At 40.6% G+C, this 14189-nt stretch overlaps 1 protein-coding gene across 3 annotated transcripts; it reads right to left on the bottom strand.

Moving 5' to 3' along the window:
- Positions 1 to 6739: 6739 nt before the first annotated feature.
- On the bottom strand, positions 6740 to 14188 carry ZNF501 (zinc finger protein 501). 3 transcript variants are annotated; one of them, NM_001258280.2, is made up of 3 exons: positions 13808 to 14188; positions 12263 to 12347; positions 6740 to 9626 (listed from the first exon to the last, which is right to left on the bottom strand). In NM_001258280.2, exon 3 carries the CDS (start codon positions 9399 to 9401, stop codon positions 8586 to 8588), a length of 816 nt encoding a protein of 271 aa, NP_001245209.1. In that variant the 5' UTR covers positions 9402 to 9626; positions 12263 to 12347; positions 13808 to 14188; the 3' UTR covers positions 6740 to 8585. The 3 variants fall into 3 exon arrangements, with proteins under 3 accessions (NP_001245209.1, NP_659481.2, XP_047303355.1); NM_145044.4 differs by having other exon boundaries at positions 14101 to 14188; XM_047447399.1 differs by having other exon boundaries at positions 14145 to 14188.
- Position 14189: the final 1 nt, after the last annotated feature.

Here is a 14189-nt window from a genome sequence, read left to right as displayed (position 1 = left end):
TCCCAGCACTTTGGGAGGCTGAGGCGGGCGGATCACAAGGTCAGGAGATCGAGACCATCCTGTGAATGGTGAAACCCCATCTCTACTAAAAATACAAAAAATTAGCCGGGCGTGGTGGCGGGCGCCTGTAGTCCCAGCTACTTGGGAGGCTGAGGCAGGAGAATGGCGTGAACCCGGGAGGTGGAGCTTGCAGTGATCCAAGACTGCACCACTGCACTCCAGCTTGGGGGACAGAGTGAGACTCTGTCTCAAAAAAAAAAAAAAGAAAAGAAAAGAAGAAAGAAAAGCTAGTAACATTACAGTGGAGAAACTAGGCAAATGTCACCTTAACTGCCTGATCAAAGTTAATATTACCAGTAATAAGTCATACTGATGCCAGACTCACGCCTGTAATCCCAGCACTTTGGGAGGCCAAGGCAGGTGGATCACCTGAGGTCGGGAGTTTGAGACCAGCCTGACCAACATGGAGAAACCCCATCTCTACTAAAAATACAAAATTAGCCGGGCATGGTGGCACATGCCTGTAATCCCAGCTACTTGGGAGGCTGAGGCAGGAGAATCGCTTGAACCTGGGAGGCAGAGGTTGCGATGAGCCTTTGCATTCCAGCCTGGGCAACAAGAGCAACAGTCCGTCTCAAAAAAAAAAAAAAAATGTCATACTGACATCATGACCTACTGATATGCACTGAGAAGGACACCTCACTCCCAAAGGCCACGAAGATCCTGCTAGGGCCTTCCTGATGTCCTTTTCAAGGATAGGGCACAAGGGCAACCGATGTCCAGTACTAAAGAGGCCAGAATCCTAGGGTATGGCAATGGCACATAAATGCCAATACAGACTCCAGGGCTTGTCTGGGGTCAAAAGGGTCAGTGTAAAGGTGTCAAATTATCCTCTCTTCTGAACGAGTCCTTTATTCTGAGATTATATCTTTCTTGTTTCTTTGAAGTTAAAATATACTTTATTTTATGAAATAATGATTTTGACAGGTGGTAGTTTATTGTACTTACTTTGCCAAAAGGTTGAAAAATCTATACCAGCGTCCAAAAAATATGTTGAAATTTACTGTCTGGGACTTCCAAACATCAAGTCCAAGTGTTGTCCAATAGAACATTCTGCCCTAGCCACCTATGGCTATTAAGCACTTGAAATGTGGCTAGAGCAACCAAGGAACTGAATTTTTCCTTCTACTTAATTATTTAAATTTAAATAGCCACAAATGGGTCGTAGCTACTGTGTTAGCGCAGTTCTAGGTATTAGTGGGATTTTTTTTTTTTAATTGTTAGGAGTCCTGCAGCCCACAAGGGATTCCCTCCCACTTTGTAAAGGTCAGAGGTGTTCTGATGTTTGACACAAAACAGCACAACATACAGTCATATCTGGCTGGATGGCTCAAGACAACCAGGGCCAGACAGTCACATTGGGAAGGAAGACACATGTCTGAGTTTCCAGGCGCCTGTTTCTGTGGCCCTTTCCCCACTCCTGGGCCTGCTCTCTCCCCCAGAAAGCAATAAACTCTACTATAGAAACTATCTTTCAACTGACACCTACTCTCACCAACCTATGGCTTCTCCCAGATCATGCATGGAGTCTTTCAGGGAGGAGAAAGAGCAGACAGAAGGCATCTGTCCAGGTTTGACGTTAGGAATCCTCCCCATTGGCCCCACAGTCATTCTTAGGCTAATGGCAGCTCTAGGTTTAATATGACTTAGGCATATATGGTCCTAGAAGCTGGGGTAGAAGGGACCATTTAGTATCATCAATTTGAATGTTGTCTTAGAAAGTGGCAATGGCTAAGACAAGCCTGGTCCCTGGAGCTGTTGAGGGACAGCTGACTAGGTTCTTTAGCTACAGGATGAGACCCTGAACTTTGTATTTTTAATCATTGTTTCCCCAAATTCTCCCATGCATAGCCATAACTTTTCTCGCTACTCAGTTGATCATAGCCTCTATTTTCTCCAGAGCCTAGATCCTTCTTAATCTGCGGTGTAGGGTCCTAGAATGCAAACCATCTTCCCAGTTGCTCTGAGACTCTCAATCCTTACCAACCTTCTCCATTCTGCACCAATCCAGCTGGACCAGTCCACTTTTCCCCTCACACCCTGTGCAGATGGTGGCTTGGCATCAGTTTTCCCTTTGCCCTTGCTTCTCCCTGAGTCATCAAGTCAACCTGAGTCTCTGGCACAAATGCAGCAGGACCGTCTGCCTCTCAGAGGAGATTCTCTGTAACCCCATAAGCAACGGAAGCTGGACTTGGCAGAATGGAAATGGTGATGGGCAAGGCAAAAACGGAGCTATGGCCTGGGCTTTGGGGCAGGTAAAGGATTTAAGGAATCCCAGCTGCAGGGGTATAAGCTTGGTGTCTTGACTTCTCCCTGTCACCTCATGTATCTAGTTACTGCTGTGCCTCTTTTGCAACTCAACATGTTCCCTGTCTGGCCTTGCAACTTCTGCCTTTCTCTTTCCAAATATCATCCTATTTTACTGACCTGGCGAATCATCATCCAAAGTTCTAGCTTTCTTTAGTAGCCGCTCCCATACAGTGAGAGGGTCTACAACAAATGACAGACATTTGGATTGGTTCCATTTTCTGGCTATAACAAATAAATTTGCTATGAACATTCACGTGCAAGTCTTTTTCTAAACATGTTTTCATTTCTTTTGGGTAAATGCCTAGGAGTTGAATATTGGATTGTATTGCAGGTATATAATCTTTTGAAAAACTGCCATTCTTTTCCAAAGGAATTGTACAATTCATTTTGCTTTCTGCCATCAGTGTATTAAAATTATTACTCTCCAGGTGGAGGCTCCATCTGTGAATAAGTTGTGAGATTTCAAGTTCCAATACTTACTATCATAGCCTTTTAAATCTATAAGAATATATTTAAACTCATTTAATCCTTAGAAAATGTTCATGGTGAGGCATAATATAAATTATTGCATGTGAATTATAATGATATAATTAACATATGTATCTTTGGTGTTCAGTTTGGTAAGTTTTGACAGTTGTGTTTACCTGTGTAGTCACCACACAAACAAGAAACTATAGAACATTTCAATCATCCCAGAAAGTTCCCACGCTGAGTGTGTATTGGTAATTTTATTGCTGTGTAATACTTCATTATATGAATATAGCATAATTTCTTTTTTTTTTTTTGAGATGGAGTCTCACTCTGTTGCCCAGGCTGGAGTACAGTAGCACTATCTCCGCTGACTGCAACCTCCACCTCCCAGGTTCAAGCAATTCTCCTGTCTCAGCCTCCCGAGTAGCTGGGACTACAGGCGCACGCACCACTACACCTGGCTAATTTTTGGATTTTTAGTAGAGACGAGGTTTCACCGTACTGGTCAGGCTGGTCTCGAACTCCTGACCTCAGGTGATCCACCCGCCTTGGCTTCCCAAAGTGCTGGGATTACACATGAGCCACCATGCCCGGCCATGCATAATTTCTTTATTCACCTATTGACAGACATTTGGGTTGTTTCCAGTTTTTCACTATTAGAATAAGGCTGCTATATACATTCTTCTGAAAGTTTATTGTGAACATGTTTTTATTACTCTTGGGTAAATAAAGACTAGAACTGCTGGATCATAGGCTAAATGTATGTTTACCATTTTAAGAAACTACCAAATAGTTCTTCAAAATGATTATACCATTTTATTTTATTTATTTATTTATTATTTATTTGAGACAGGGTCTTGCTCTGTCACCCAGGCTGGAGTGCAGTGGCATGATCTCGGCTAACTGCAGCCTCTGCCTCCCAGGTTCAAGCGATTCTCCTGCCTCAGCCTCCCAAGTAGCTGGGATTACAGCTGTGTGCCACCACACCCAGCTAATTTTTGTATTTTTGGTAGAAACGGGGTTTCACCATGTTGGCCAGGATGGTCTCGAACTCCTGGCCTCAAGTGATCTGCCCACCTTGGCCTCCCAAAGTGTTGGGATTACAGGCATGAGCCATCATGCCCGGCCAAAATGAGTATACCATTTTAACTCCCATAAATAATGTTTGAGAGTTCCAGTTGCCACACAAATTCACCAATATTTGGGGTTGTTAGTCTTTGTTTTAGGGATTTAAGAATGTATGAGATGTATCTTGTTTTAATTTGCATATCTCCCATGACTAAAGATGCTGTATTATCATGCATGGTTCTCCACAGAAACAGAACCCATAGATGGGGATAGAAAGAGAGAGAATGATACACATTGATTTTATTTTAAGGAATTGGTTACATGCTTGTGTGGGCTGGTGGCTGGCAAGTCCAAATTCTGCAGGGCAGGCCAGCAGGCTGCAGGCCCAGGGAAGAGTTGTTGCAGCTCAAGTCCCAAGGCAGTCTGGAGACAGTTCTTTCTTCTTCAGGGGACGTCAGTCTTTTCTCTCTTAAGGCCTTTAACTGATTGGCTAAGGCCCATCCATATTATAGAGGGTAATCTGCTTTACTCAAAGCCTACTGATTTAAATGTTAGTCACATCTAAAAACCACCATCTAGACTGATGTTTGACCAAACATCTGGGCACCATAGCTTACTTAGTCAACTTGATACATAAAATTAATCATCACAGACACTGAGCATCATATTCATGTGTTAATGGCTAGTTGTATATCTTTGTTTAAATGTCTCTTCAAGTCTTTTGCCCATTTTTAATTGGGTTGTTTATATTTTTATTTTTCCTTAGTAGGAGCTGTTTATAAATCTTGGGTACAAATCCCTTGTTAATATATGTTATAAATATTTTCCGTGGCCGGGCACAGTGGCTCACACCTGTAATCCCAGCACTTTGGGAGGCCGAGGCGGGCAGATCACAAGGTCAGGAGATTGAGACCACGGTGAAACCCCGTCTCTACTAAAAATACCAAAAATTAGCCGGGTGTGGTGGCGGGCCCTTGTAGTCCCAGCTACTCGGGAGGCTGAGGCAGGATCGTGTCACTGCACTCCAGCCTGGGCGACAGAGCAAGACTCCGTCTCAAAAAAAAAAAAAAAAAAAATTTCCCCAGCCTGTGGCTTGTCTGCTAATTTTCTTAAAGGTTTCTCTTAGTGACAGAATATTCTTCATTTTCATTAATTTATTGATTGTATGAAATTATTATATTTTTAATTTTATGGCTAATGTTTTCTCCTGTCCAACAAATCTTTGCCTACCTAATGTTTGCAAAAATAATGTTCTAAAATTTCATTTGGAGTTTTATGGTTCTGGGTTTTATGTATACATCTAGGATTCTTGTGTATTTCTTTTTTACAGAAGTCCCGGAGTATTATTAATAGTATCTCATTTCCATTTTACAAATAAAAGGGGGCAATGTTCAGAACTTTACCTAAGGCCATACTTCTAGGGCTCAAACTCTAGTCTCATTATAGCACATTTTCTGCATTCTCTAATATATGCCATGAAGCGTTCACTAAGCCCCCATCAAACCCAATGCCCTACAGAGTTTTTTTGAGACAGAGTCGGACTGTCACCCAGACTCTAGTGTGGTGGCAAGATCACAGCTCACTACAACCTCGAACTCCTGCACCCAAGCGATCCTCCTACTTCAGCCAGTCAAACACTGGAATTACAGGTGTGCACCACTGCCACCAGCCTACACAGATATTTTCATAATACCACCTTTACTACCCTAAAATGAAAATCCTAGGAAATATAAACCACCTACATATATACATTATTAAAAATTAATAAATCACCTAGCTTAATATGAAAAAGTCTTAAAAACAACATAATTTATAATAAAAACGATATATATTTCAGTATGTACAGGCTTGGGCATGACTGCAATAGAACACATAGGGAGTAAAATGCTTGATCCTATGCAGAATCACTAAGAATGTGACAACTACATTGCAAATGGATTCAAGTGTGTTATGCTGGTTACTCAGATAACAGGTGGAAATTTTTTATTTTTATTTTTCAATTTTTGTAGGCACATAGTAAGTGTATATATGTATGGAATAAATGAGATATTTTGATACAGGCATAAAATGCATTAAAATCACATCAGGGTAAACAGGTTGTTCATTTGTTTTTGAGGTCTTGCTTTGTTGCTGAGGCTGCTCTCGAATGCCTGGGCTCAGTTGATCCTCCTTCCTCAGCCTCCTAGCTAACAGGTGGAAATTCTGTCAACAATGTGGGGTGAGTTGGAAATTCAAAAAAAATTTTTTGGTACCAAAGAATTGTTGAGCAATTGTTTATTTGCTTTACTGAGCACACCTCTCATCCATTGTTAGTGGATTAACTAAACATCTGGGAGGTCACACTCTCTATCAAAGCTACCAAGGCACATACTTCTTCTTCTTCTTTTTTTTTTTTTTAAGACGTAGTCTTGCTCTGTCGCCCAGGCTGGAGTGCAGTGGTGCAATCTCAGCTCATTGCAACCTTCATCTCCCAGGTTCAAGCAATTTCTCCTGCCTCGGCCTCCTGAGTAGCTGGGACTACAGGTGCCCTCCATCATGCTGGCTAATTATTTTTGTATTTTTAGTAGAGGTGGGGTTTCACTATGTTGACCAGGCTGGTCTCGAACTCCTGACCTCAAATGATCCACCCACCTCGGCCTCCCAAAGTGCTGGGATTACAGGCATGAGCCACTGTGCCCAGCCTGAGAATTACCTTATAAATATCTTGCACATGTGCCTAAAGACAAGGATGCTGTATATGCAGTTTTGCTTACAACAGAAAAATAAAAGCCATTAAGTGTCCACCAATAGGGAACTAATAATGGTCTATTAAGACAATGACACACTGGGCAAGGGTGGGGGAAAGATCTTTATTTACTGATACAGAACAATCTGTGAGATGGTTTAGTCTTTAAAAAATGGACAACTGTGTATATTATGCTACCATTTCTTTAAAAAAAGAAAAAAGAAAAAAAAAGTAAAGAGAAGGAATCAAGGATTGAGAAAATAAGCCACAGCCTGGGAGGAAAATATTTGCAAAAGACCTATCTGATAAAGGTCTGTTATACAAAATATACAAGGAACACTTAAAATTCAACAATAAGAAAATGAGCAATCCAATTAAAAATGGGCAAAACCTCTAACAGATACCTCACCAAAGCTATACAGATGGCAAACATATGAAAAGATGCTAAATTCATATATTATTGGTGAACTGCAGATTAAAACAATTAATACCACTACATACCTATTAGAATAGTTAAAATCCGACCAGATGTGGTGACTCACACCTGTAATCCCAGCACTTTGGGAGGCTGAGGCAGGCGGATCACTTGAGGTCAGGAGTTCGACACCCACCTGGCCACCTGTGTCTGGTTTTCACAGATTTGGCATCTCACACCAACAGGAAGGTTCAATGGTGGGAAATTACCTGTATGTGACTTTGGTATTATATAAACCAGAACTGCAAATCTATAAAGATATAGATTTGAGATTCAATTCTGACATTACCTGCTTGACTTTGAGCAAGTCAAACATCTTCTCTTTTTCCTTGACTCTAGGATGTGAATAGTAACTCCTACCTTTCTTGCAAGGGTGCTTTTAGCGTTAGAGGTGCTTGTTTACATTAAAAGGCTTAGCATAGCCTAAAGCTCCATCAAAAGTATTCTTTGATTTCTTTGCTTTTTCATGGCTTTTAATGAGCCATTAGGCACTCCAACCCATCAGCATCCCCAAGACACTGTTCTCTCCTTCCTCTGACAAGTGGCTAGTTGTTAGTCAGTGGCATCAGTTGCTGGAACCTGGGATCTTAACATCTTCTACCCTCATCTTCCCTTAAGAGACCACATTTGGTGCTGTGCTCCTAGAACTCAAAACAAATACAGCCACATCCTCATCTACATGCTTATATTCTCCTCTATATTCCAGTCCTCTCTACTGTCATATGCCTTCTCCTAATCACCTGCTGCCAACCCTAAACACACACAGAAGTCCCACAACATGAGGTTTTATTCAGTTAATGTCAGGGAGGCTTTCCGTTTAATGGAAAAGTGAAACTTAGAGCTTAAAATCAAATTAGATCTAGTAATAGAAAGTATCAAAATTTAAATGAAGATCTTGAGGGTATCCAGAAATACACCCCACAATGTCCACTCAAATCCCAATCAGTACATTTTTCTCTGATTAAATCTGAAATTTCTCAAGGACAAACCAGTCTTAGATTGTATTATCCTATTTAAACCAAGACATTATAGTTTAAATAGACGTCTGTAGATCATAAAATCATAGCCCAATTACAAAATGTTCTTAAGAAACAATACATTATGAGAACCAAACAACAATGCTGATTTACTTGTCAGATTTTGATATTGTAAATAAACTTTTAGAACGGCTAATTAATTAATGGCAGTTAACTGTCACACAGAACTCATTTTATTCTCAGGACAACCCTAGGAAATATCCCCATTTTTCTATTGGGGGGAATGGGGAAACTGAGGCTCAGAAGGGATAAGGTTACACCCACTGAGCAGCAGATAAGGCATCAAACTCCAGACTAGGACACATTAGGACACAACATTTCTTGTTCAAAATACAAAATATTCATACTAGCTACAGATTGAGTCTTACATTCCTAGGAATTTAGGAGAAAAAAAAGGTGCTTCCATACAAATCTTCCCATACTCATTATATTCCAAATTTTACTCTCCAGCATGAAGCCTCTGATGTCGAAGAAGTGCTGAACTGTGCCTAAAGGATTTCCCACATCCAACACACTCATAAGGTTTTTCTCCAGTATGAATTCTGTAATGCTCACTAAGGTGTGCTTGTTTGCGGAAAGTTTTTTCACACTCACTACACTTATAAAGTTTCTCTCCAGTGTGAGTCCTTTCATGTTCAACAAGGGAAGAGTTCTGAGTGAAGGCTTTACCACATTCAGTGCATGTGTAGGGCTTCTCTCCTGAATGAATTCTCTGATGCTGCATGAGACATGCACTCTGATTAAAGGCTTTCCCACATTCATTACACTTAAAAGGTTTATCTCCAGAATGACTTCTCTGATGACGAGTAAGGCATATGCTCTGACTGAAGGCTTTGCCACATTCTGTACATTTATATGGTTTCTCTCCAGTATGAATTCGCTGGTGTTTAATAAGGGATGGGCTCTGACAAAAGGCTTTTCCACATTCATTGCATTTATAGGGTTTCTCTCCAGTATGAATTCTCAGATGCTGAACAAGAATTGCTTTTGTTTGAAAGGCTTTCTCACATTCATTACATTTATAAGGTTTCTCTCCGGTATGAATTCTCAGATGTTGAGTAAGATTTGACTGTTTACGGAAACAACTTCCACATTCACTGCACACATAGGGCTTCTCTCCTCTGTGAATCCTCTGGTGCTGGGTAAGAGATGATCTCTGAGTAAAGAACTTCCCACATTCACTACACTTTGAAGGTTTCTTCTGCATGTTAACTCTCCCATGTTTCATTCTGAGTGATATTTGGCTGGAATTCATGCTGCTTGTAACACCAAATTCATACTTACAAGTTTTTTTTCCTCAAAGGTGATTATCATTAGAGTAATACAGTTCTCCTAGGAAAGGTTACTGTGTGTGTGTGCTCACACACATCACACATGCATTGCTGTCCTCTCATTCATCCCTGCAGGATTCCCCTTCCTCTTCCTTGTTCAGCCTGCATTCTCAACTTCTCTGAAAGTGAACCCCTGATGATCAGCCTCTCTGAAGAGATTAAGTAGTGACAGGTATTAGGAATTCTATAAAATTCCATATCACAATTGATTCTGAAACAATCAAATACTAAAAACTAACCCAGGTAATTTGGGATCATCCAGATTTGCACCCACAGTGATAAATAACTGGAAAATATGAAAGGAATAAGTATCCTAGACTTGGGCATATAAGTGTTACGGAAACTTACTGTCCACTTAGTCTCTACTGCTCAAAAAACAGAGGAATAATAACTCTATTTCTTTAGGTTACCTATAATCATGGCAGGCTAGTGATAGTCAAAGAGTTTCCTTTCTAAAACTTCAAATGTGATCCAGGCTGTAACTTTCACTAGGCCTATCTCACCAATCCTTCTTCATTCAGTCACCTTTACAGGTGCCTCATTGGATCTCTCTTTCTCTCCAAAACATTCACCATCTATAATTCTCTCCCTAGGCCCAACTGGAAACCTATAGGTTTGAAAACTAGAGTCCTGCTTACTGAAAGAAAGTAAGATATCACTGTTTTGTTTCAGGAAAATTAGAGAAGTGGTCCTTAAAGAAGAAGGTTTAATTGGACAGTAACTTGACTACAGCATCATGGTCCAGGTGCTGGCCCTCACCTTTGTAGCCAAAGAAATCTGAAATATACTAATCAGATTTATAAGGGGAATGAGAGAGAAAATAAAGTCACTTCATTTATTTACAATGAAAAACTTCTGTGCTTAATATAGAGCTGGTTAACATATTCTCTGGACTTTAGAAAAACAGTATGTGAACCAAATCACTGTCATTAGAGCACTCTTTGGGAAACAAAGAACTGGAGAAAGAACAAAATATTTAATTGATCATAACTAAATGATTATCAAATTTTGAAACCCTGGTGCCCTAAATAAGCCACACAGAATTAAAGAATGAATATTCAGGTGCTGCACGTCAGAGCAATCTCTTCCCTAGTTGGTGCTGGAGACACTAACACATGCTTCTTCTCTGAGGCCCATTTTTGTCTGTTTTCTAATCATGTAAATTACACAACTATATATCCTCACTTTAAAATATTTAGATAATATGGAAGTATATAAGATAGGCCAGGCATGGTGGCTCGCACCTATAATCTCAACACTTTGAGAGGCTGAGGCAGGAGGATCACTTGAGGCCAGGAGTTTTAAGAGCAGCCTAGGCAACATAGTGAGATGCTGTCTCTACAAAAAATAAAAAATTAGCTGGGTGTGGTCATGTGCACCTGTAGTCCCAGCTACTCAGTAGGCTGAGGTGGGAAAATCACTTGAGCCCAGGATGTTGAGGCTGGAGTATGCCATGATCATGCCACTGCACTCCAGCCTAGTATACAGAGCAAGACCCCTTCTCTAAAAGAAAATTTTTGTTAACAAAATAAACCTATTCCTTTCCCCAGAGATTATCAAGTTTGAAGTATCTTCCTTCATTCCTTTTTTCTTCACATTTTTCTATACACATATATCACTTGATTCTCTTTAAATAAATGAAATTGTTCTACAGGTTCTGCTCTGCAATTTGCTTTTATTTCCCACTAAAAAATGTGTCTTAGAGATCACTTCATGTTGGTACATATGGATCTATTGGGGCTGAGAGTCAAATGATACACACTGCTATATCTGTACAAATTGTTCACGACTACCTGCTTGGGCAATGCCTGTACCATACTGTTTGTTAAATATGTGGACTATCTTACCTAAACCTATCTTTATCTGATGTATTAACTTACAACATGGATATGCTATATACAAAAACAAACTCCAGTTGGTTTAAGCAACCAGATGTAAAACCAAAACTCTAAGCACATTTTTAATTCCTTTACTCTCATTTTTCCAAAATAAAAAGGTTTTTTTCTTATCATACAAAGAATGCATGCTCATTCTATTAAATGGTCAGCTACTCCGAAGAGGAAATCACTTGAAACCCAGCCACAGAAAATAATAGTATTTTAATGGACCTTCTTCTAGGTATCTCTTGATGCATATAAACATAAATACGTACATAAGTGTACATATATTATGCATACATATTAAACTAATCCAAATTCTTCAGGACACAGTCATATTCTCTTCACAGAGTTCCCATAACCTAAGAATACAATTTACCCAGAATTATTTTACTGAGTTTGACAGACACCCAGGCTCCATGTTGCCTTTTGATTGCCAGTGACAATGTCAGCTGCAATAACTTAAGCTCTTGTTCTAAACATGGCCAGAAGCCCATTCCATATTCTCTGAGGAAATACCTAATCACATTTGCAATGGGTTTTCCAATAATTTACTACCCATATTCCTTGATCCAACCACTACACCATTAAGGCATCATACTGAGCAGTTCAATAAGTGGTTTAAAGATGTGCTACCAGATGACTGTAGAGTCTTCAGTTCAGGTACTCTGATAAGAACTTAGTGCACTCTAGGACCTGTCCCATAACCAATTATTCCATAGCCGTTTTCACAGTGGGCCACCCTCACTGATTTGAGTAAAATGGTATCCATTTCTGTGTGGTCCTGCATTTTCTGCTGGGTCCACATTTAGTGGACATTGGTGGGTCCCACCATAGGTCTGCCATCACTTCTGATGGTAGTCTCACAACCACCACCATCCTGGGCTCTCTAGTTAGAGTTAACTTACCAAGAGACAGGTTGTTAGGAGCACAAGCAATACTGGCTTTTCTCCTGGGGGCTCTTCTCTTGAGGAAAGGCAGGAATTTGAGGCACTGAGGGAGGAAAAAGAGCCACTCATAAATTGCCAGCCTACTTCCTACACCTTCTAGATTCAGGGTAACTCAAGAACATCCCATCTCTAACCAAATGACCATTTTAAGTTCAAATGAAAGAATATCGTTATTATCCTAGAGGAGTATCTCCAGTGACAAAAATTAGTGAGTTGGCAGACTTCAGAGAGATGTGACAATGTACAAAGAGGGCAGGTCCTTCCTAGGACTAAGCATCTGGGCGTAAAAATTTCTTTATACGACATCAGGTTGGAGCCCAATGGCTCCCCTAAGTCTACTGGAAAAGCCATTGATTTCAAAAGTCAAATGCTGCAGGGCTACAATAGAGGGCAGTAGGACCAGTAATGGACTCAGTCAAGAGGTGTGGATTCTAGTCTCAGCTCTGCCACCAATTTGTTCAATGACCTAACACAGGTCACTCAGTCTCATCCATTTCTTATTTGTTAAATGAAATTGAAAAGCTAGATAATATTTAAAGCTTCTTGTAATATCAACATTCTACAAAGCTTTGATTCTATATACAGATGGGAAAAGAGCAAAAACCTCAAATCAAGCCCTTCCAGTCCATCTTTGATTGAATCTGTTTATTCATTTATTTGAAAAGTACTAAATGAGCTAGCCGTGAGGTGAATGGGTCTTGTTAAGAACGGGCTGAATCAACAGCAGGGAAACTTCCTGTCAGTTATCCTCCTACAATTAGAATTGGGGGAATTTCTCGAAAATAACAAGAGGATTGCCTTTGTGTAAGGAGTATCTGCTGTAAGATGTTAAGGACTCTTCATAAGGGAAAGGTTTCAAGAACCCTCCTAATGCAAAGAACACTGTATTCAAAGGCAGGAACCTGGTTTCCTGTCTAATACATCCCAATCCACTAGCATCTCTTAACTGACACTGAACAAACTGTTTAATTATTTTCAAACGTCTCTTTTATTTCCTCATTTGGTCAAATAAGCCAGCAATTATTTTCAAGCTTGCAGTCAACCTTTAATATTTAGCTCAAATGTGAAACTTCACACCTCTTCCTTGTGGGAAAATTTTGACTTTTCCAAGGCCCTTCCTCGTCTACATTCTCAAAGAATTTTACAAGTTTCTACTGTAGGACTTTCTAGTCTGATTACATTCTGTCTTCCACCAGCAAACTTACAAGTATGGCATGGGCTCCAGGACTAGGACTTTTGAACAAGTTACCTAACCTTTTTTTGCTCCAGTTTTTTCAACTGTTAAATGGAGACGATACCAGTAACTACTTTATAGGGTTGTCGTAATGAATAAGTGGGTTACTACATGGCAACTACTTAGAAGAATGCCAGCTGGTAAGCATTCAATAAATAGTGCCTGCTGTTAAAGTATTGAGTCTACATGTCTTCATACGGTACCTATTTTGTTGTTGTTAGAGAAGAATAAATAATGAAGGGAAGGCACTAATTCTTGCATATACTTACTTCAACCCGCACAACTTTGGGAAACGGCAAGGCAGGAAACAGTATTTACTTCTGGAAATCAGAAAACTAAAGTGCCCAGAAGTTCACTGACATGCTTAAGTATGTATAAATCGAACCCAGGTCCTCCGACTCCCAGCCTAGGGCTCTCGAACAGCCTCTCCTTTCTTCATGGCAAGTTTGCCCTAGGCCTCGGGCCTCCGCTCCACAGGCCCTCCAGGAAGAAAAACGCCCTGCTTCCCGAGGGAGGAGCTGGAATCGACCCGCGGCAGCCGGGCACAGCAGAAACCGCTCACCATGCGCTTCCCGCGGCGCTCCCCGCGGCGCTCCCCTCTCGCACCTTGCAACACTCAGGTCCCTGGGTGCTGCCCTGCGGAAAGGAGTA

The sequence above is a fragment of the Homo sapiens genome, chromosome 3, assembly GCF_000001405.40.
Source record: "Homo sapiens chromosome 3, GRCh38.p14 Primary Assembly".
In the NCBI taxonomy this organism is placed as follows: Eukaryota; Metazoa; Chordata; class Mammalia; order Primates; family Hominidae; genus Homo; species Homo sapiens.
Note: the sequence above shows the minus strand (reverse complement) of the source record. Positions and strands in the feature narration are given on the sequence as shown.

Excerpts from the sequence above, each read along its gene's own strand:
- ZNF501 (NM_001258280.2), bottom strand. The coding sequence starts at position 9,401 with ATGAATTCCAGCCAAATATCACTCAGAATGAAACATGGGAGAGTTAAC.